Raw genomic sequence first — 23,902 nt, 5'->3', positions numbered from 1 at the left:
AGTGCCTATCTTCGTGGCCACATTTTATATAGCAAATGAAGACATCCCAGCAACTGTCCCATGTATAACTTGGCACTAGAGCACCAGGTCTGTTGGATGGTGGTGGCAGGCACTATTATTTTATATCCAGGTAAAAGGCCAATTTTATAAACTGCCACTTGGAGCTAAAAATCAAGGGTACAATATACTCAGAAAGTATTGAGCAATCTGGTATCCCAAATGATGTGAATACTTTCAGAAACCAATGGCAAATTGTACCCACGTTTCCCAGCTATGGAGACATTAACGCATTGATTCAAATCCCATTACTCAATCCACATAGGCCTGAGGTCATCCTGCAAAGTGCATATCAAAAAATACAAAGTTAGGGTGACAAAGTTCGACAGTGATGTTATACAAGTCAAACTTGGAAGGTCATAGTAAGCATACCTATGCTGAAAGAAAAGCATCAAATTCTTGGTGTACACATTTAGTTTTATTGTAACAAAGTAACTTGTACACTTTTAACGTTTAAAACTGAGCATCATCTTTCCTTTCCAGTGAAACAAAAAGAAAATTTAAGAATAAACAGGAACAAAATTACAATAGAGAATGTCAATTCCAAATAAGATCCTACAGGTTATGCTGATTCTCCCATTTAGTAGTAGGGCTCAAGTCATCATTAGGAGAGAATTTATTTTAAAAGTGTCATCTTAAACCGCAAGGATGTCTGTCAAATATCACAATTAAACATGCCAAAGGAGAAGCCATGCTGTCAAAATGCCCACTTAACCTACCCAAACATCTCAAACACACCCTTTGCTGACCTTCCATAACCCCGTTTTTTATAACTTTTTTTTCTTTTTTTAAACAAGAGAAAGTAGACAGACACATGTTGGTAAATGCTAACCGTCCATATTCACATGGAGACACAGTGCACTCTCTGAGCCCAATATACAGAGAAAGGAGGAAAAAAGCTAGAATTTTATGCACTACTACACAGGGGCCTAGCACCCTGCAGCTTCCAGCAGAGTGAAGGGAGCAGGTTTTTCTTTTTTCCCACAGAGCTCGGTGGTGTTGATTCCATACAGTTTTTGTTCAGACAGAAAGGGATAAAAATGAATTTCAAACAGAAAGGGGTAGAGACTCTTTTCCCATTGCATTCTGCACAAGGTATTTTCCCCCAAATAGGTTGAGAAACATAGTGTAAAGAAAAGAGATCTCAAGAAGAGGGCAACTGAGAACAAGAGGGGTGGGGGTGAAAAAAGACTGCAACTTGTTCCCAGGGACTGGAGAAAATTTAGAAAAAGGAAGCTTGAAATCCATCAGTGTTCTATTAGTCATCTTCTCTTTCATCCTCCTCTCCATCCTCCCCTTCATCATCATCTTCATCTTCTTCACTTTCATCCTCATCCCCTTCTTCACTAATATCTTCTAATCCTTCCTCCTCTTCTTCATCATCATCATCTCCTCCTTCCCCTTCTTCATCATCCATATGGGGAACCAAGTAGTACTGTAATGGGTTTGGCCAAATATCGTCTTTGTTGACGTCTAACTCATCAGCACCTGCATCAGAATGGTCAGTAAACCAGGTAAAGAAGCTCTCTGGTTCCTCATGCTGCCTCTTCTTGCTGGCTTTATTCTGTGTTTGACTTGAATATTTCATCAAATCCTTTCCAGATTTCCATTTGATTTCAGTGGACTTTGAAGATGGATCATCATTCTCATACAGATGAAATTATTTGGAGAGAACTTTATTTTCAAAGTAAGGATTTTCATCAAAATAAAAATCTATTCTCTAACCTGATTTAATATTTTCAAATTCTGTCACTTCAACTCTGGTCAAATAATGCAGTGCCTCTTCGTCCTCCTCCCCAAGCAGTGTAGACACTTGTGGATGGTTGACAAATGTTGTTACCCCAAAATTTGGAATTTTGGCTATCAATTCTGACCCCTTCTGAAAAAATGGTTGGCAGATTTTCTTATATTTCTGCTCTACTTTCAAAATCTCCTCACTGGCTTATTCATTAAGTCTGTCTATTTCATTTTGTACTTCATCAATGTGTTCAATGGCTTCTTGCTGTTCTTTTTCTTCCTACTTTGGCAAGCCTGCAGAGGCCAATGTCTCCTCCGGTCCCAGAGCAGGAGGTGGTCTTGATTTCTTCTTTTGAGGTGAGAGTGGAGATTGGCGTTTGGATGCCACGCTGCTAGGGAAGTCCAAGAACCAGACCACAAGTCTCCTCGCTCGTCCAGAAGCAGGCAGAAGACTGTTTGTTTTGTTTTTGTTTTACATTTGGACATCCAATGGTACCAGCATCATTTTTTTTAAACACTTTTTTTTTCACTGAATTGATGTTGCCCCTTGGTAAAAGATGGGTCTTCAAGAGACTGAGAAGATAAGCCACAGACTGAGAGAAAATATTTGCAAAACACACATCTGATGAAGGACTGATATCTAAAATACACAAAGAACTCTTAAAATACAACAGTAATAGAATGAACAATCTGATTAAAAAATGCACTGTGCATGCATTAGAATGGCCAACATCCAAAACATTGACAATGTTAAATGTTGGTAAGAATGTGAAGCAATAGGAACTCTCTTTCATTGCTGTTGGGAATACAAAATGATACAGCCACTTTGAAAGATAGATTGACATTCTTACAAAACTAAATATTCTCTTAATCATATGATCCAGCAATTATGCTCTTTTATGTTTACCCAAATGAACTGAAATATATGGCTACACAAAAATACCTGTACAAAGATGTTTATAGCAGCTTTATTCACAATTGCAAAAACTTGGAAGCACCCAAAATGTCCTTCAGTAGGTGAACGTATAAATAAATTGTGGTACATCTACATAATGCAATATTATTCAGTAATAAAAAGAACTGAGTTATCAAGCCATGAAAAACCATGGCGAAAACTTAAATGCATATTATTAAGTGAAAGAAAGACACCACTTTGGAAAGGCTATTTACTGTATGATTCCAACCACATGACATTCTAGAAAAGGCAAAATTATGGAAACAATGAAAGGATCAGTGGTTGCTAGGAAAAAGAGGAGAGGAAGAGATAAATAGGTAGAACATAGAGGAATTTTAGGGGGAATGAAACTATTCTGTGTGATACTAAAATATATGATATATGCCATTTTTATTTCTAAAAACCTGTAAAGTGTACCTCAATGCAAATTATGGATTTGGGGTTGTAATTATATGTCAGTATAGATTCATTGATTGTAACAAATGTAGCACTCTGGTGCAGGTTGTTGACAGCTGAGGAGGCTGTGCCTGTGTGGTGGCACAGTGTCTGTGGGAACTCTGTTGTGTTTTTTGAGACAGAATCTCACTCTGTTGCCCAGGATGGAATGCAGTAGTGCAATCTTCACTCATTGCAGCCTTGACCTCTTGGGCTCAGGTGATCCTCCCACCTCAGCCTCCCAGTAGCTAGTAATACATATGTGTGCCACCATGCTCCGCTATTTTTTTGTATTTTTTGTAAAGACAGGGTTTTGCAATGTTGCCCAGGCTGGTCTTGACCTCCTGAGCTCAAGCGATCTGCCCATCTAGGCGTCTCAAAGTGCTGGGATTACAGGCATGAGCCACCGCGCCTGGCTGAGTGTTGTTCTTTTTAAAAGTTGTTTTGATTATTTTAAGTCCTTTGCATTCTCATACAAATTTCAGAAATAGTTTGTCAACATCTTGGACAACAACTTATTTTCTTGGATTTTGATCAAAAGTGCATTGAATCTACACATCAGTATGAAGAAAACCTTAACAACAAGACTTCCTGTGCATGAACATGGGCGTTTATTTATTTTGTTCTTGTTTAATGTATCTCAGAAATCTTTTTTAGCTTTTATTTTTCATATCTAGTATGTCTTTTGTTAGATTTATTTCTCACATTTCATGTGTTTTTAATCCTATTGCCAATGATATGTTTTAGAAATTTTAATTTCAAACTGTTTATTGATAGCAGATGGAGATACAATTGATTTTTGTATACCAACTTTGTATCCTGTAATGTTACCAAGCTCACTTAGTTCTGGTAGACTATGTTGGAGATTCCATAAGATTTTCTATGCAGACATTCATGATGTCTGTGAATTAAGATAGTTTCACTACTTTTCTAATATAACCTAGTTTTCTTGCCTTATTATCTTGAATAGAATCTCCAACAAAATATTGATAACAGACTGTGAGAGCAAAATTCTAGCCTTACGTCAGATCTTAGGGGGAAAGCATTCAGTCTTTTACCATTAAGTATAATCTTAGTGCTAGTTTGTGTGTGTGTGTGTGTGTTAGCTCATTCTTAATTTGTTGAGCATTTTTTTTGAGAATAGATTTTGGATATTGTACAGTGCTTCATTTGTCTTTATTGAGATAATGACTTAGTCTTTCTTTTTGTCTTTGTTAGTACAATGAATTACATTTCATTGAATTAGGAATAATCAGGTTATCTATTTCTTCTTGAGTGATTTTCTTGAAGTTTATCTTTCAAGAAATTTTTCCTTTTCATGTAAGTCATCAAACATTTCTTTTTAATATCTAATAGAGCCTGCAGTGATGCCATGCCTCTTCTTGCTAGTATTGGTAATATGGGGCCTTCTATCTTTTCTATCAATGATATTGATCTTCTTGAAGAACCACTTTGTTTCCATTGATTTTGTCTATTGTTTTTATGTTATCTATTTTATTAATTTCTATTCTCTAGTTTCTTAATATGGAAGCAAAGGACAATTATTTGAGGCCTTTCTTCTGTTCCAATATATGTGTTTGGTGCTATAAATTTTCCCCTACATACTGCTTTAGCATAATTTGACACATTTTGATCAGTTGTATTTCCATTTTAATGCAGCCCAAATGCTTTCTAATTCCCCAGAGGGTTTTAATTGACCTGTGTGTTACTTAGAAGTATGTTATTTAGTTTCTGAACAGCTATGGGTATTTTTTGTTTCCAGAAATCTTACTGTTACTGTTTTCTAATTTAATCCCAGTCTGGTCAGAGAACATACTTTATATGACTTGAATCCTCTTAAATTTATTGAGAAATGTCTTATGGCCTAGAATATGGGGTATCTTGGTAAATTTTCTATGTGTACTAGACAGGAATATGTATTCTGCTGTCCTTGAGTAAAGTGTTCTACAAATGTCAATTGGTCAAATTGTTTGATATCTCTTTTGCCAGCCCAGATGTGCTGCTAAAGTTTCAGTTGGTTTATCTTTATTCTGGAAATATCTACTATTTTGCTGGGTTTACTATTTGTGGTAATTTCAAAGGTATGTCCACAAATTATTGATACTCCTCCTTTTAAAGGGTGCAACTTAATTTCCTCCTCTTGAGAGCGTCTTGGAATTAGTGACTAGTTTCTAGTGACTAAATTGTGGCAGAAATGATGGTATGCCCCACCTAGATTGGGTTACAAAAAGAGTGCAGTTTCTTTCTTGAATGTACTGTCTCTCACTCTCTCTTAAATCATGTACTCTTGTGGAATCTAGCTACTATGTTGTAAAACAACCTCAGGGAGAGGGAAATCAGCTGTCATGTGGTGAAATCATTCAGGCCAACTACCAAAAGGCCCAACATGAGTAAACATGGAAACATACCCTCCTCCATTCAACCCCAACTGACAGTTTGACTGCAACCTCATGAGAGGCCCTGGAGCCAGAACCACCCTAAGAAGCTACCATGATCCACAGAAATTATGAGGTAGTAAATCTTTATTTTTTTAAGCCACTAAGTTTGGAGTAATTTGTTATATGGCAATGGATAATTAATACACTCCTTTATCCACTATGCCTTTAGAGATTACATTGCTTGGGGGTCTTGCCTTACCTTGGAAGGAGTTTTCTCTCATTTGATATTACTTCATACGGATTTCATTGCATTGTCAATTCATTGATTTTAAAAAATGCATTTATGATGCTATCTTATTGTTAAGGTGGAATACAACAAGGGATGTAAGGAATAAAAATTGACCTGGGAATTCTCTAGTAACCTTTTATTTCCTAACTGTAAGCAGAATTTTCTTTGCCTCATGTTTGAATAACTTCAATTTTTCTGAATGAGTCCTTAACAGGCAACTACTCTGGAAGAAGATAAAGGCTAAAAGCCACAGTAGTTTTCCACGTTTCTTTGTTTATATCTGAGATCTGGCACTGATAGACCCCTTCACTGTTTTTATTCTTCCCTGTTATAACACCATGGTATCACAACACAGCTGGTGAAGACTCCTCTAATACAGGGCAATTTTGACTACACATCTTTACAGGCTTTATCTCCTAGTATCACAGAATATGTAGTTTGTGGTGTTTTCCCCTTTTTCTATACATAACTAAACTCTGTATGGTTTTGAGGAGTAGAAGTGGAAATATTTAGAATCAATTTTCCACCGCACTCTACCAGATTCTAAAGCTCACTACAATCAAACATTTGTCAACATGATACTATTTAATTTTTTTAAATCACCAGTCAACTTAATATTACTAAATCTAAGGCTATTTCTTATCCTTTATCTTCCTTGACCTATCATTAGCACTTAATACAGTTGATTACACTTCCCTACACTTTATTTGTTAGCTTTGACACCACATGAACTCTCATGATTTTTTCCTACTATCTCACTGGCTACTCCTTCTCAGTCTTGTTTGCTGGTTCTTCCTCATCTCTCTCACATCTTATTATTGGATTGCCCCATAAATCAGTCCTTAGAATTCTCTTTTCTATAATAAAGCTTTTGATGATCTTATTCAGAGATACCTACATATCAGTCAATCTATGTATCTATCAATTACCTATCTATCTATCTATCTATTTATCTAATTTACAATTTCTTAAATGTGCTTTTGCAGCTCTGTCTGCTTTGATGAACTTTAGAGCTGTATGAATTACTGCCCACTTGATACTTCTTAGCTTTTCAGTTGATACCTAAATATTAATATGTCCAAATCTGAACTCCCAGTTTCCCCCTGATCTTAAACTTGCTTTTCAGTCTTTCCCATTAAATTAAATGGCAAATGCTTCCTTATGTAGTTGACTAGGACCAAACACTTGATATCCTGAGTCCTCTCTTTTCTTTTTTCTTACATCCAAATCTCAGAAAATCCGGTTGCTTCTACCTTTAAAAACATATGACCACTTCTGATCACTTCACAAAAATCTGACCACTTTTTACCACCTTCACTGCTACATGTTGAATACAAGCCCTTACCGTTTCTCACCTGGATTATTGAAATAGCCTTCCAAATAGTCTACTTGCTGCTACCCTTATCCCCTTACAGTCTATTCTCAAAACGAATCCAGAGAGATTCTATTAAAATGTATGTGAAATTATGTCATAACTCTGTCAGAACCTTCCGATCATTTGTATCTCTGAGTAAAAGCCAAAGAATGTTATAATAGGCCACAAGGCACTACATAATCTGAATCTCTATTAATTTACTAGCTTTATCTCCAATAATTTTCCTCTCATTTTCTCACATTAGTGTAATCACCCAATGGGTTCACAGTGCCCGCTGACTAGACAGAGCTGATTTATCAAGACAGGGAAATTGCAATGGAGAAAGAGTAATTTATGCAGAGCCAGCTGTGTGGGAGACCGGAGTTTTATTATGCAAATCACTCTCCTTGAGAATTTGGAGACCAGAGTTTTTAAAGATAATTTGAAGGGTAGGGGCTTGGGCAGTGCGGAATATTGAGGAGATCGAATCATAGGGGGTCGAAGTGAGTTTTTCTTCTGTTCCTGGGTGGGATGGAAGAACTGGTTGAGCCAGATTACTGATCTGGGTGGTGTCAGTAGATCCATTGAGTGCAGGGTCTGTAAAATATCTCAAGCACTGATCTGAGGTTTTACAATAGTGTTGTTATTCCCAGGAGCAATTTGGGAAGGTTCAGACTCTTGAAGTCAGACGCTGCATGACTCCTAAACCATAATTTCTAATCTTGTAGTTAACTTGTTAGTCCTGCCAAGGCAAACTGGTCCTGGGCAAGAAGGGTGTCTTTTCAGAAAAGGGCTATTATAAATTTTATTTCAGAGTCAAACCATGAAATGAATTCCTTCCCAAAGTTAGTTTGGCCTATGCCCAGGAATGAACAAGGACAGCTTAAAGGTTGGAAGCAAGGTGGAGTCAGTCAGGTGTGATCTCATTCACTATCATAATTTCCTGTTATAATTTTTGCAAAGGCGGTTTTATTACTAGCCTTTGACATTTTGCTCCCTTGGCCTAGAGTGCCCTTACCCCAGACATCTGCATGGCTAGCTTCTTCATTTATTTAAGTATTTCCTCAGAGGTGGCTGGCAAGATGGCCAAATAGGAACAGATCCAGTCTGCAGCTCCCAGTGAGATCAGTGCAGAAGACGGGTGATTTCTGCATTTCCTTTGAGGTACCCAGCTCATCTCATTGGGGCTGGTTAGACAGTGGGTCAGTTAACATAGCAGGCCTGAGGCTGCTATCCTTAGAAAAGACTGTTGCAAGGTTGGTCCTTGGCTGGATATCTGGCTCCACAGTATCTAGGCTTTGCTGCTGCTGAAAGAAAGCCACTACCTTTTTTTTTTATTATTATTTATTTCTGAATTTACAGATCTTTATTGCCTGGACCTGACTGTAAGATGAAATATCACTATGTCTGCTGTTAGCTGTTTCAATCCCAGAACTAGCTGTGCGAAACTAAAATCTGGTGAAATCTCTCTACTCAATGGAAATAACTCAGACTCTGGGACTGTTTCAGATGCACTGGTTTGTGCAGTCACAAACTATGAAAACATCATGGATGATGGCTCAACTGTTTGGGTCACACACCAATGCCCACAGGAAAGGGATTTTCCTTTAATGAGTTCATCTCAAAACAAGATGCTGATAACCTCTATATTTCCATTACAGAGACTAATTACATTCTTAGCTTGTGATTCTTTGTAAGTTGGAGGAGGGAACGCTACAAGAAGGATGACTGCTCCATCCACCCCTGACAGATCTGACTCTGGAACCCTCTGGGGGATGTCTCACTGCCACTGACTTGTGTTTATCTTTTTAGAATAGTTGTGTTGCAGAACTTTCTCCTTAGTTCAGCTAAAACCGGGTTCTTGTCACACGACCAGGAAAGATTAAGTTTGTGGACACATAGAAGAGTGAGGAGTGAAATTTATTGGGTGAAAAGAAAAAAGGAAAAACAACTTTCAGCAAAGCAAATGGGAGTCTTGCCAACAGGCTCCCACCTCACAGATTGAACACCAGACCACCACACAGGAACTGAAGAGGTCAGCTTCCTACCCTCAGCACAAGGCATGAACTTCCCATGTGGCCACCCCCTTCCCCAAGTGCACAAGTGGGTATTATTCAGAGAGAATTAGTCAGGAAAGGGTGGGCTTCATCTGGGACCAGGAGTCTGGTTTTTCAGCCTTCAGGCTTTTTTAAGCTTGAAGGCAGGGTTTTCCTGGGAACCCTTGACTGTCTCCTGTCTCTATCATTCCCCCCTCTAAAGAAGTACATCTAACTGCAGTTAGAATAAGGATAAAGATAAGGACAAAGACTAATCGTAACTGCTTCCTGCAGACAGGGGGCACCGTTTTGGGAAAATGGCAGTAAGATCTCCCTCAGAAGTCTATCTAAGGGCTCCTGGTAAAAGGGGCCATTGTCTGAGTCTTTGGCTGCATGATCACTTGGAATTTCACGGCCTGAAGGCGAGACAAGACAAACCAAGTTATTAGAAAACATGTATTAACACAAAACAAGGTTGGGGGTGGTTAGGACAGCTCAAAAATCTCAAGACCTTTTATCAGTTTGCACGGGGAGAGAAAGGCCAAAAGCCCAACTGGTAAAACAAAAAAACAAAAAAACACACTTTTACCCTTTTTTGCTGGCGTGTCAATCTTCTGTATTCCCATCCCCTCAGCCCAATTCTGAGTCAACCAGTGTAAGATTTTGGAAATTAACTCTTTCCAGTTTGGAGGATGCATCTGAGGAGTGTCCCATAGTATGGAGACACAATTACCTATCAGTGAAGAGAGGACAGAGGAGGAAAAAAAAAAAAGAAGACTTTTTTTCAAAGGAGTCTCAGGGGTTCAGGATGCATTAAAAAAGGGCACAGACTGAAGATAAATGGCTATTCATCTAGAAAGAGGTGAGTAGGCATCCCTGGTTCCTTTCTCTTTCTAGCAAATACCCTGAGTACATGAGGGAGGGAAAGTGAGGCATTCCTTTTTCTTTCCTCCGTCCTTGTATCCCTGAGTCCCAGTGACTGTGCCACCCATGGGTGTGAAAGTGGCTTTCACCCAAGTTAATGGGGGGCCTTGGGGGTGGGAGAACCCACTTTTACCCACATACACCCTATCTCTCCTGATGTCAGTAGCCTTTGAATTCCCTAGACCTCATTTATGCCATGGATGCTAGCGTGACCTTTATCCTTGAAATGGGAAGTGTGGCTTAATTGGAAGGAATCAGTCATGCTCACCTATGCTTTGCCTTTTAACTTCCATTATCATCTGCCTCTGGATCTGTTAAATATTTTAGAGGTTTAAAACATGATGTTATGAAATAGAATTTCAGATTACCATAAGTTATTTATTTTGCCAAAATGATGACTCAGAATTTTAAAAAAGCAAAAGCCTTTTATAACCCTATACAAATTTTGCTAAAGAGCAGAGTAGTGTCTTAAACATACTTTGTTGTGCTTTTATTTCAATGCTCAATTTACAGAAAACCATATAATACCCTTTTAAATTTAGTCAATATGTTCACACATGGAATTTCTTTTGCAAGATTAATTTTTTTACAATTCTTCCACAACTCGTTTAAACCTTCAGCTTTTTCTTATCTAATTCAAAATAATCTTTTAACCCTAGGCAAGAATTTACATTTCAACACCTTCTTATAATCTTTTACTAAAAATACATCTTACTGTTCTCACACACCTTGCATGTAAATCTATTTCCAGTAGTTTCAATTACATCTTATAATGGTAACTCCTAGCAAATTTTAACTTTAATGTAAAACCTGGTAAATTGGTTTAATTATGTGCTAGGTGCAGCAAAGGTTTAACTCCTTCCTGCATAATTAAGGATGTGGTTAATTTCATATATTTCCAGGCTTTACCAATTGTGAAGCCAGCAAGTTAAAACATTATCAAAAACTGAAAAGGCAGTTTATAACCTTAAAACATTTAGTAAACCTAGTGTCTGATCTGCATAATTTAGTTCACCTATTTACATTTTGACAACAACTGTATTTCACCAATAATCTTTAAGGTTTTTTTATTTCACAAAGATTAAAGTCACATGAACTAAAAGGTACCACAGCTTTTATCTCCCCTTTAAAAAATATTTGATTCAAGCGCTTGTCTTTTAGACCAATTAATTAGAGCTCTTTTTTTTTTATAGACATCACACAATACATACATAACTACACAGACAGGCAGGAGAAAACACAGCAGCCATAAGATTTTTCATTTGCCAATCTCCTAAGAAGTGGATTATTGGCCACTCGTGCATGCATTAAGAGTGGCAAGACAAAATAGAGAAAAGAGAATTCAGTCAACTAAGAAAAAAACACTTTTTCCAGTAAAAGAAGATACAAGTGGCCAGTTGCTGTGGTTCGAGCCTGTAATCCCAGCACTTTGGGAGGCCAAGCGGGCAGATCACAAGGTCAAGAGATTGAGACCATCCTGGCCAACATGGTGAAACCCTGTCTCTAGTAAAAATACAAAAATTAGCTGGGCATGGTGGTGTGTGCCTGTAGTCCCAGCTATTCGGGAGGGTGAGGCAGGAGAATCGCTTGAACCTGGGAGGCGGAGGCTACAGGGAGCCGAGATCAGGCCACTGCACTCCAGCCTGGCAACAGAGCAAGACTCCGTCTAAAAAAAAAATATATATATATATATAAGAAAAGAAAAACATAAAGGCCTTTTAAATGTACCTATAACTTGGGTATCCACTATCCACTTGCAATTAAGCTGAGTGATCTTTAAGAAAATCCTTTTAACTTCTTTATTACCTGACTTTAGCCATGCCAAGTGGTCAGTATTTCTGGCTTTCAAACTTCACTAAAGGTAACTTCATAGGTGAAACCAACAAGCCTCAATTAAGATTATGATTTAACTGCCATTGTATGAGGTATTTTCAGAGGGGTTAAGCAGTTCTTACAAAATTTAGAAGCTTTAAAAATAACCCAGAGAAAGGAAGATTTAAGGAAAAAAAAAAGCTAGAAGTTGTTCATGGAGAGGAAGAGTGTAAGGTCAGCTGAGAGAAAGGATGAGAGAGACCCAAGGTCAGGCGAGGAAGTTTATTAACCTGACGGCTGCTCCATCACAGACAGAGGAGGCAGCCTTAAGCTTACAAAATGAGGCGTTTATATGTGGTAAGAAAGACCCTGGGGTTGTTTGCTGGTTAATTTTGCCACATATTACTTTGTGACGTTTATTACAGGAGAGTGTCCGTAAAGTTTATGTTTCCCATGACCTCCTCCTGTGCGGTCCAGATGGTTTGTAATTGGGGTTTGTTTATTGCAGCAAGGTCTGATAAGTGAAATCTGTTGGCTTCACCATGGTGCCCAGATAAGGGCTTAGAAATGTAAAGAGGCTTGGGGAAGGGTGGGCATGGAGAAGAGTTTCAATGCCTTAGGGGGAGGGGTGGGAAGCACCAAGAAGCTTTCTTGGGGGCAGTTTGTCCCCAACATTCAAACCTCTTAATAGGTAATAGAAGAGGGGCTCCATTGTCGTCTGGCTGCTTCTTGCTGGGAAGGGGCAACGGTTGTGGGGGAAGGCTAGACAGCAGGGACTGCCGTTTTTGGAGCCGTTGGTATTCCTGGAGCAGCATCATATCTTGTATTGTCCCGTGGATGAAGGCTCTGATAAGGTCCTGTAAAAACTGGGTGAGAAGGCCTAGGAGACAAGGGCCAAATGCTAGAAAAAGAAGAATGGTTACAGCCGGGCCTAGGAGGGGCTTTAGGCATGGAAACCAGGTACTAAAGGACCAGGAGGGCCACGCTGGCCATCAGGGGACATTTTCTTTAATTTTTTGTGCTCGGTCCTTTAGTCTTTTTACAGTATCTTGTATTACGCCAGATTGGTTAAGATAAAAGCAATACTGTTCATCTAGAAAAAGGCAGAGTTCTCCTTTTTTGGCTGTGAATAGGTCTAAGCCTCTGCAGTTTTGAAGAACTACTGCTGCTAAGAATTTATTTGTGATTGGAGAGTTGTAATGGATTTGGCTATCTCTTCCAAGCTATTCGTGAAGTCTTTGGAGAGGGATTGGTAATAGGAAACGGAGGTGGTTAATCCCACAATCCCAGTTCCAACTCCTGTAGTTATTCTGAGGGCTACTAACAGAGGTATGAGTTGTATAGTATGGTGGTGTCAGATAGGGATATTAACTGGGATTAGTAGGGGCTGGTCTCCTGGGGCAACAGTGATTTTTGGACTGAGGAAAAGCAGGGTGCAGGTGCCTGTCCAGTTAGAGGGGAGGGAAATATAAGTTGAGGTATACATAGGAAAAGTATGCCTTGGCTTGGTAGACAGAACTGGTTGTGTATGCTAAAAAGATGTACTATTTTGTTATTCTCAAGCATCCATACTCTTAGGGTCCCAGCTAGGGCTGCTGTTATAAGTGGTTGTTAAAGGGTGTTTGGTTTAAGCTGGGAGGCTTTTTTTTTTTTTTTTTTTTTTTCCCAGTGTAAGAGGAAGCGTTTTCTGTTTACTAAGATTCATGTGGGAGTGTTGTTGGATGTTGGGATGAGACCGTCATGGGTGGTGTGTATAGGGATGGTGTATGGAGAGGGGAGCCAAGAGAAGAGGGATAAATAGGGGAGGTGTCAGCCATTACAGTACTCTGAATTTTTGTTAAGGAGGTGGGAGGTGTCAAGGGCCTTTATGTGGTTTTTGGAGGGCCTGGTCTGACTGTTTGTGGAGGAGATGGCAGATGGGGGAAAGTGTTTGGAGGTATTCCCCTGATTGAGAATTAGAAGGAGGCCTATTTTGTAAGAGGAAAGGGCGTCTATACATTAATTTAAATGGGCTGAGGAAAGAGAGTGCCTTTGGGCTGGCTCTGATGCAGGCTAGAGCTACGGGTAGGAGGAAAGTCCAGGGCCTCTGGAGTTCTAGAGTGAGTTTGGTCAACTGAGTTTTAAGGATTCCATTTGCCCTATTGACTTTTCCTGATGATTGGGGTCGATATGGGATATGAAGGTGTCACTGGACGCCGAGGGACTGGGAGACCTGTTGGGTGATTTGGGAGATAAACCCAGGGCCATTGTCTGATCGAATGGAGTGAGGGAGACTAAACCTAGGGATGATTTTTGTGATAAGGATCTGGGATACTACTGTGGCTTTTTTTGAAGAGGTAGGAAATACCTCCACCCACCCAGAGAAGGTGTTTGTAAGAGTGAGAAGGAATTTTGTTTTTTTGACAGGAGGCATGTGGCTGAAGTATATTTGCCACTCTTCTCCTGGGAGTGCTCCTCTTAGCTGGTGTGTAGGAATAGATGGGGAGTGGAGGGCTCTTTGAAAGGAGGTGACAGAGTATATATGACAGTTTGAAGTTATGTTTTTTAGTGAGGTGAATAGGTGAGGGGAGAAGAAATATGGGCAGAAGAGGAGATACAGGGGACATGCACCAGCACGGAAGGATTGGTGGAGAGATGTCAGGATTTTGTCGGTTTGGAGCTGGGGAAGGACTAGCTTCTGGTCCTTAACTATCCTGTCCCCCTGGAGGAAGGTTCCTTGTTGTAGTAATAAAGCCTTTTCAGTGGGAGAGTATTGAGCTTGGATTGCAGGGGTAATGAGGAGGAGGGAGGCAGGAGTGGAAGAAAGGGAGGCCTTTTTTGCTGCCTCATTGGCCTTTCTGTTCCCTCTTCAGATTCCCTTTCTGTTCCCTCCTGAGATTCTGTTCTCTGCTGCCTTGTTGGCCTTTCTGTTCCCTCTTGAGATTAATCTGTTCCCTCAAAGGCCTTTCTGTCTCTGTTTGATGTCCCCGACAGTGTATAACTCCTGCCTCAGTTGGGAGATGTGCAGCCTGAAGGAGTTGGTAAATAAGGGGCCGTTAGTGATAGGCGTCCCTTTGGCAGTGAGGAATCCCCTCTCTTGCCAGATGATGGTGTGAGAATGAAGAATGTGATATGCATATTTGGAGTCTGTGTAAATGTTGATCCATTTGCCTTTAGAAAGGGTTAGGACTCTGGTGAGAGCTATGAGTTCTGCTTTTTGAGAGGAGGTTCCTGGAGGTAGGGGCTTAGCTTCAATTACTTGGTCAAGGGAAACAACCTCTTACCTAGCAATTTTGGGAGAGCCAGTGGGCCCAGAAGAGGAGGCATCTATAAATAGTTGGTCATTGGGGTCGGTGAGAGGCTCAGAGGAAATGCTTGGAAAGTGTGGCTGCAGGTGATCTAGGATGTCAGTGCAAGAATGAGTAGGAGGGGAAGGGGATACGGGGAGTAATGATGCTGGCTTGAGGGGAGCACTTTTGGCAATACTGAATTCGGGATTTTCGATAAAGAGGGCATGGAATGATCGAATCCGGTAAGGAGGAAGGGAGCCTAATGCTCAGGAGAAGAGGAAATCCTGTAGATTATGAGGACTGTAGACAGTGTTATTTTGACTGAATGTTAGTTTCCTGGTTATTTTTGGACCTAAAGTGGCTGCTGTTGCTAGCACTCTAAGACAGGTTGGCCATCCTCTGACTGTGTTGTCTAATTGTTTAGAGAGGTAGGCTACAGGGGCAAAGGAAGGAGGGTCTTCTTTCTGCTGCCCTAAGATACTGAGGGCTATTCCTTGGCTTTCGGCAGTATAGAGAATGAAAGGTTGGGAGATACTAGGTAAGGACAGAGCTGGTGTAGTGACAAGAGCAGTTTGGAGTTCACGGAGCTGGGGAGTATGTTATGTGAGGAGTTTGGGGATTAACTGAGAGGGCCTTTTGCCACTTCATAGAGGGGGTGAGCTAGGAGGGCAAAGTTGGGAATCTATATTCTAAAGAAGCCTGCTAGTCCTAGGAAGGAAAGGACTTCGCTGTTGGAGGAGGGCAGGGCAGATTATTTATCTATTAGTGCCACTTGGGTTTGGGTCATAGCCCGGGCCCCAGGAGAAAGTTGAATTCCTAAGTAGGTCACCATGGAGGTGGAGAGTAGTGTGGATTTTTGAAAGGATGTTTCTGCCTAGGAGTAGAGTTGGACATGAGGGCAGGACTAAGAAAGAGTGAGTGAAGGAAAAGGTGTGCAGGGAACAGAAGAGTGGAGGGGTGGCTCGGGGTTTGGAGACTTGCCCATCAATTCCTACAACAGAGACCTGGGAGGACTTGGTGGGTCCTGAAAAATTAGGTAAAGCAGAGTAGGTTGTCCCAGTATTGAAAAAAAAAAACATACTGGCCTACCTGCCACCATCAGGGTTACCCTTGGCTCGGATGAAGAGATGGTAGTTGCCAGGGCGTCCGTTCCAGGGCACCATCAGTCTTCAGTGGCAAGGCCGATGAGATCTGAGTAGGAGGTTTTGGCCAGTTCAGGAAGGGATGGGGGCAGTCCTTGTGGGGGCCACTCACAGTCTGACTTCCAGTGGCGTCCTCCGCAGAGGGGCACAGCCTGGTGGGCTTATCTGGGTTAGGGCATTGTCTGGACTAGTGGCCTTCACTGCCGCACTTGAAACAGGCACCAGGTGGAGGTGGATTGCTAGGAGGCTTCCATGTGGAGCTGCGCCCTGTTGCCTGCAGGGCCCCTGATGGCAGAGGCAAGCGTTTGAAACTCTGCCTGTTTTTGCCTTTCTTTCCTCATCACGATTGTTAAAAGACTTTGAAGGCTAAATTAAGAAGGTCTCGTTGTGGGGTTTGAGGGCTGTCGTCAAGCTTCTGAAGCTTGTGCCGAATATTGGGTGTGGATTGGGAGATAAAATGGGTATTAAGAACAATAGTTCCTTCCTGGGAGGCAGGGTCAATGTGGGTATATTTTTGGAAAGCCTCTGTAAGGCAGAAAAGGAATTGAGCAAGATTTTCATCTGGTTTTGGGAAATTTCTTTAAGATTTTCAAAATTTACAGCCTTATGGGCAGCTTTGTTAATGCCTGCAGTGACGCAAGTAATTATATGGTTATGGGATGCTTGGCTGGAGTTTGTGGGTTGGTACTCCCAGGAAGGCTTTTCCCAGGTAACAGCAGCGGCTTCTACAGGCTTAGTAGGATCTTGCCAATGAAGATCATCAGCTTGTGCCTGTGCTGTGAGCCACACTCTTTTCTTCTCTTCTGGAAGGAGGGTATAAAAGAGGATAATGTAGAGATCATGCCAAGTGAGTTCATTAGATTGGGTAAGATATTTAAATTCTTTGATATAAGTATCGGGATCAGAGGAGAAGGATCTGAGACATTTCTCAATTTGGGAGAGATCGGAGAGGGAAAAAGGGACATGGACATGGATGATCCCCTCGACTCCTGCTACTTCCTGGAGAGGAAGCAAGGGAGCTGGTTGCTGAGCATCTTGGGCCAGAGAGGAGGTGAGGGGTGGAGAGAGAGAGGACTCAGAGTCAGAAGCAGGGTGGTTGGAGAGAGGAGGGGAGAGAGGTAGAGCTGGAGTGGGGACATACGGTGGAGGATCATGATGCTCTGGTGGAGGATCATGATGCTTTCAGGGAAGGGGAAAATTGGCAGGGTCGAAGGAAGAGCAGTCTTCAGCTGGGGCTGTGGGGAGGGGGGCAGGAGGCAAGTCAGGTTTGGAGTGGGTGAAGAGGATTTGGAAAGTAGAACAGGACTGACAGAGGGAAGAGTGATTACAGAGAGTGAAGAAAGCCTGAACATAAGGAATCTCAGACCATTTCCCATTTCGATGGCAAAAGTTGTTTGTCTTTAAGTACATTGAAAAAGATAAACCTCTTAGAATGGATTTCTGAATGGAGGCTGAGAGCATGGAGATTGCGGAGGAGACACCCAGGGGGGTGGTCTTGGAAGGGGTAGATTGAGAGGCTCCTATAGTGAATGGAGGAGGGGAGGGTAGGGGAAGAAGAGACTGTTGATGACAAGGACGGTGGGAGAGGGCGTCCCCTTTCCCATGGAACTTCTCCAGAATAAAGGAGGTAACCACCGAGTCAGGCATCCCTGAAATGGAGGAACTGGAGGCTCAGAGATGGGAGGAAGCCCTTGGCCCAGCGCTGGGTCTTTTGGAAGTGGAGAGATGGATGGTCAAGGGTTCTGGGGAATGGCAACAGTCTCTTTTCACTCACCCTGGTGGAGGCTTTGATGGTGGATGAGGTTGCCAGCAATGGGAGAGTCTAGGAGATTCTCTGGGTCTTTGGCAGGTTTGGGAAAGAGGAGATTGGCCGGGAGAGGGGTGATAGGGGAGGGAGGGGAAGAGAGAGAGAGAGAGAGAGAGAGAGAGAGAGTGAGTCCCAGCCAGAATCTATTGCCTTCCCGGGTTTCGGCACCAGAATATAAGGTCAGCCGAGAGAAAGGATGAGAGAGGGACCCAAGGTCAGGCGAGGAAGTTTATTAACCTGACAGCTGCTCCATCACAGAGGAGGCAGCTCTGAGCATACAAAATGAGGGGTTTACATGAGGGAAGAAAGACCCTGGGATTGTTTGCTGGTTAATTTTGCCACATATTACCTTGTGACATTTATTACAGAAGGGTGTAGGTAAAGTTTGTTTATGTTTCCCACAATCTCCCCCTGTGTGGTCCAGATGGTTTGTAATTGGGGTTTTGTTTATTGCAGCAAGGTCTGATAAGTGAAGTCTGCTGGCTTCACCATGGTGCCTAGATAAGGGCTTAGAAAAGTAAAGAGCCTTGGGGGAAGGATGGGCACGGAGAAGAGTTGCAGAGCATTAGGGGGAGGGGTGGGCAGCACCAAGAAGCTTTCTTGGGGGCAGTTTGTCCCTAACAAAGAGAATCAGAAAATGGCAAAAGTCACATAGATATTAACTTGAAAATACTCATTCCCTAAGCCAGGATTGAATCTGGCCACCACTGTAAAGTGGCAGAGGCTAAACAAAACATTGTCACATGGTTACAGGTCACGCTCCCAAGGATGTAAAACAAGATGGAGGCCTGGAGCAAAGTTTGCTACTGACCATACAGAAAGTCATGCAAAGCACACCAGATTGGCTACAGCTTAAGACCAACCCCACAAATCCTTTTTCATAATTAAAACTTTACAGATAACATAAACTGTGATCCTTATCATTCCTGGCTTAGTGAAACATCTTCTAAAAGGAAAAAAAAAAACCCTCTCACTTAAAAGTTAACAGCTGACAGGGTAGAGAAAAGGATAAAAAGGTTTAAAGTGCAGGGTCGGAAATATGCCTGGGGGAAGAACCTTATTCTTATACAAATGTGTTCCTCCAACAGGGAGAGAAACTTAATTGATTTCTACCGTTGGGCACCCTTGGATCATGGGCCATGCACCCCAGCCCTGGCCTGGAGGGAGTCGGGGAGCTGCTATTGACTAATCCATCCCATGTTCACCTAAACCCGTTAGGGTAGGGTTGTGCACCATTTACCCTCAGAAGAAGTCTGAGAACAAAAAGTCTTAGAAGCAAAAGGAAAAACAGTTTTTTGGTTCACATCTGACTCACCCCTCCTTAAGCCCCACGTCTGGATGCCAAAAATGTTGCAGAACTTTCTTTTTAGTTCTGCTACAACTGGGTTCTTGTCATACGACCAAGAAAGATTATGCTCATGGACACATATAAGGGTGAAGAGCAGAATTTATTGGGTGAAAAGGAAAAAGGAAAAACAACTCTCAGCAAAGCGAGAGGGAGTCCTGCCAACAGGCTCCCACTCACAGATTGAACACCAGGCCAACACACAGGAACTGAAGAGGCCAGCCTCCTCCCCCGCTGCACAAGGCATGAATTCCTGTGGCTCCATCCCCTTCCCCCAGTGAGCAGGTGGGCATTATTCACAGAGAATCAGTCAGGAAAGAGTAGGCTTCATTTGGGACCAGCAGTCTGGTTTTTCAGGCTTCAGGCTATTTTAGGCTTGATGGTGGGGTTTCATTAGGGACCCTTGGCTGTCTCCTGTCTCTATCAGTTGCAGTTCACAACAATGTACTAACAGCCTGACTTCCTTCACCTTTCTTCTGGTAATCACATTAAATATAGACACTTTATTGTTAAATGCTGCTGTTCCAATAAATGTATTAATCTTTTCTAGGCAGATCATCAGATTAATGATTAGGATCAAAAGGGTGAAAGATTATGTGAGACTATTTTGAAAAATTATGATTTTTGTCCTGCTGAACTCTTGAACATAACTTCTTTCTCATTAAGTTGTATAAAAAACATTTTTCTATAAAAATGTTTATGTCTCTTTTGCATACAACATATCATGACAAAGGTCTGGGTAAATGTGGGGGATTATTGAATATGAAATATAAATATCAATGAGTGGAACACACTGATGTAACAGCAGAGAAAAAACAAACCCTGACAACTGAGGAGGCATGGGTATCAGGGAGAGCATTACTGATCTTTGCTTTTCAAAAATGTTCTTGGAAGCTTTCCTCTCTTCCTGAAGACTGCCAATGCTGGCTTTCCAAGCTTCTATGAGCCCTTTGAAGTAAAATTGACTCCTGAGCCTAAGATTATACCTGACAATGCTGATTATGAGACAGTAGGGGGTGGCCTTAGCTCCTGCACTTTCCACAAAAACACTTCCCAGTGTCCTGAGTAGGATAAACTGGTGTCATTGGCAAGCAAAACTGTTTGGAACAGTCTTTAGGCAATCCTTCTGAAACCAAGGACTAAACTGAATTAATTGGACTAGACTGAAAATGTTAGAGCAAAGGTCCCCCATGGTGATTTTGTCCTGATGAATTCACTGGGGATCCTTTAACCTGTATTGCCTGAATGTATGTTCAGTTTGGGGTGTGTTTCTAAGGGTAACATGTGTGCCTTCTGGGATTGTACTTCTTATGTGTGTATCCTGTCTATTATGACACTGCTTCAACCTGCAAGGCTTTCAGGTCAGCCTGCAAGGCTTACAAGTTAGCCAGAGTTAGTCTGTGTCTCAATTGTTGCATAGAGCCAGAAATAAAGGTTAATGTGGGAACTTGAGGGCACAATCCAACTTTCTAAGGTAGACCTTTCTGGCTAATGGCTTTTGTTTTTACTGGCTAAATTAAGAAAACCTGAAGGGCATAAACTGAGACCAATACTGCAGTTTGGTATCATTATGCTGTGTGGGGTCCTCCTACTACTAATTTTCGTGTAAAGATGCCTTGACTAAGGGCCAGTGGGGTGGACTGTGCACAAAAGAGTTAACATAGACATTCTCAGAGTTCTGTACTTAGAAAGGTCTTGCAAGATGGACCCTTGGCTGCTGTCTAGAAACTCAGATTTGGGAAAAATTCCCAACATTCCCGAAACTCATAAGAGTGGCTCACTGTACCTAACCTGTTTATACAAATGAAGTGGTTTATGTTAAACATCTGCTTTCCTTCTGAAAGTCTATGATTTTGGTATATGCTAGGCAGAAGGTATTTGCATTGCCAGCCTCCAGTAAAAACCCTGGTAATTGCGGATATTGAATTCTGGAATGACAGTGTGAGGAGCTACATGGACCTACTCTCCAGTGAATCCTGTAAAAATTATTTTTAAAAATCAACTATTTAATGTCTCTGAAAATGGTCCTAAGAGCATAAAACAAATGAAGAAACATATTCAGAAAATCTACCAAAATTCATTGAGGAAAGACAGTCTATGGTATTTGATATAAGAGTTCTCCTTTATCCCTCCCTCCTAATTCAGGAAGATGGAGGAAACTACATTGTAGACAGACATGGTGTTGCAGTCTTCCTGCTCCTTAGCTCAGCTAGGTCTGAGTTCTTGTCCCATAATCAGGAAGAATCAGGCACATTGACATTGGAGAGTGAGTAGGGCAGCGTAGAATTTATTAAGCAAAAGGAAAGCTCTCAGAAAACAGAGGGATCCTGAAGGCAGGTTATCATTTCACAGTTGAATATAAAGTCATTTATATAAAAGCTGATGGGGCTGGGTTTCTTATTTGCTTAAGGTGTAAATTCCTGGTGGCTCTACCCCATCCTTCCAGTGCACATGTGGGCCTTTAGCCTGAGTCACTCCATATTGATTTATTTTCTTTACTGCACATGTGTCAAGGGATGGAATTTTCCACTTCTGGCATGTTTAGGTAAGTCTCCTGCATAACTTCCCTTATCTGTGTAACTGTGGACATGTTTAGGCAAGCCCCCTGTGCAAGTTTCCTTATCTGCACAAAACATCTAGTGTAAGCACTTGCGGTATGTGTGGATTAGGCAATGACCTGGGTGGGTCGGAGGTTCTCTCAGGACCCTTCCTTTACCGTCTGCCTAAAGCAAGCTGGCTAACTCCTCTCAATAGCTAAGAGCACAGGGTTTCCTTTCCCCAGAGCTCTCAGTTAGGGGACTTCTTTCTCTGGAGTAGCAGGACATCAGTACTTCTTATCCTGCCCCCAGCTCCATGTTGCTGAGGCTAAGTGTTGGGAGAGTATGGCCAAAAGTTGAGGCTCATTTTCTCTTGCCAGTCCCCACTCATGGAATGGAGGCTCTAAATTGGATATGGTAATGCTTAGAATACTGAGGCCCCAATTACCTTTTCTCCAGCTCATAAGGCAGTGGTCCCATGACAGGAGAAGTGAGTCAAGGAGACCTAAGTCTATCCCCACATTCACTGAGCGCTCAGCTCCTAGAGCAGGAGTATTGCTCAAAGACAAGTGTGTCATTGTCTCCAACCCCAGCTCCAGATCTGTCTCAGAGATTTTGCCTGGTGGAAGAAGCAGGCCATAAAACAGATAGATCCTTTTCTCTTCCCAAATAAACTTACTTTATTTGCAATAGTGAAGTTCAAAACTAAGGATGCTGCTATGGTTTGAATGTGTCCCTTCCAAAATTTATATTAAAACTTAATCCCTAATATAACATTAATAAGAGGTAAGACCTTTAGGAAGTAATTAGGCCATGAAAATTCTCCCCTCATAGATGAGATTAGTGACCTTATACAAGGGCTGGAGGCAACTAGTAAGGCACCATTTTTGTCCTTCTGCCTTCTGCCATGTGAGGACACAGTGCTCATCCTCTCCAGAGGATATATCTTTGTTCTCCTTTCTTATCTCAGATTCTCTAAATGACATAAACTTGTATAAAATAATAATTATAGCAATGTATTAATGGGTTTTTAACATTAAGACAATATATACATATATAAAAAACACTAATACCATAAAGGAGAAAAACATAATACAGTGCTATAGAAGTAACATTTCTATATCTCATTGGAATTAAGTTGCCATAAATCTGAAGATCATTCTGATAAGTTAAAATGTGCATAGTAAGCTGTAGGGCAACTACTAAGGAAATAAAAATAAATTACAAAAAGGTTATGATAAATAATGAAATGTTTCATTAGAAAACATTCACTTAATGCAAAGGAAAGCAGTAAAGAAGAAATAGAGGATGAAAAAAGACATGAAACAAATTGGAAATAAAAAAGTAAAATGGCATACTTAAATCTTACTGTAACAGTAATAACATTAAATGTGGATGGATTAAACAATCCAGTCAAAAGCAGAGATTGTCAGATGGGATAATAAAATAAGAGTCACCTATATGCCACCTAGACAATTCACAGTATAGATTTCAAAATACAAAATGATTGAATGTAAAAGGATGAAAAAATATAAATCATACAAACAGCAGCCACAGAAAGTTTAAGTGACTGTGCTAATATTAAACACAGAGGACTTTAAAACACACACATTTTCTAATGGTAAAACATTGAACCCACCATGGGGATAGTACAATTATAAGTATACATATATTTAATAAGAAAGTACTGAAATACATGAATCAAAACTTGACAGAAATGAACAGAGAGAGTTGGGCATTTTGATACCCCATATTCAATAATGGATATAACAATTAGATGAAAGATCAAAAAATAAATAGAAAACCAGTTAGACTTAAGAGACAC

At 41.1% G+C, this 23,902-nt stretch overlaps 2 pseudogenes; both read right to left on the bottom strand.

Moving 5' to 3' along the window:
- Nucleotides 1–23,902, bottom strand: part of TEX16P (testis expressed 16, pseudogene) — a 44,562-nt pseudogene that overhangs the window by 4,991 nt on the left and 15,669 nt on the right.
- SETP4 (SET pseudogene 4) lies at nt 641–2,249 on the bottom strand (annotated as a pseudogene).

This window comes from Homo sapiens, chromosome X (assembly GCF_000001405.40).
Source record: "Homo sapiens chromosome X, GRCh38.p14 Primary Assembly".
Classification (NCBI taxonomy): domain Eukaryota; kingdom Metazoa; phylum Chordata; class Mammalia; order Primates; family Hominidae; genus Homo; species Homo sapiens.
This window is presented reverse-complemented; position numbering and strand designations above follow the sequence as displayed.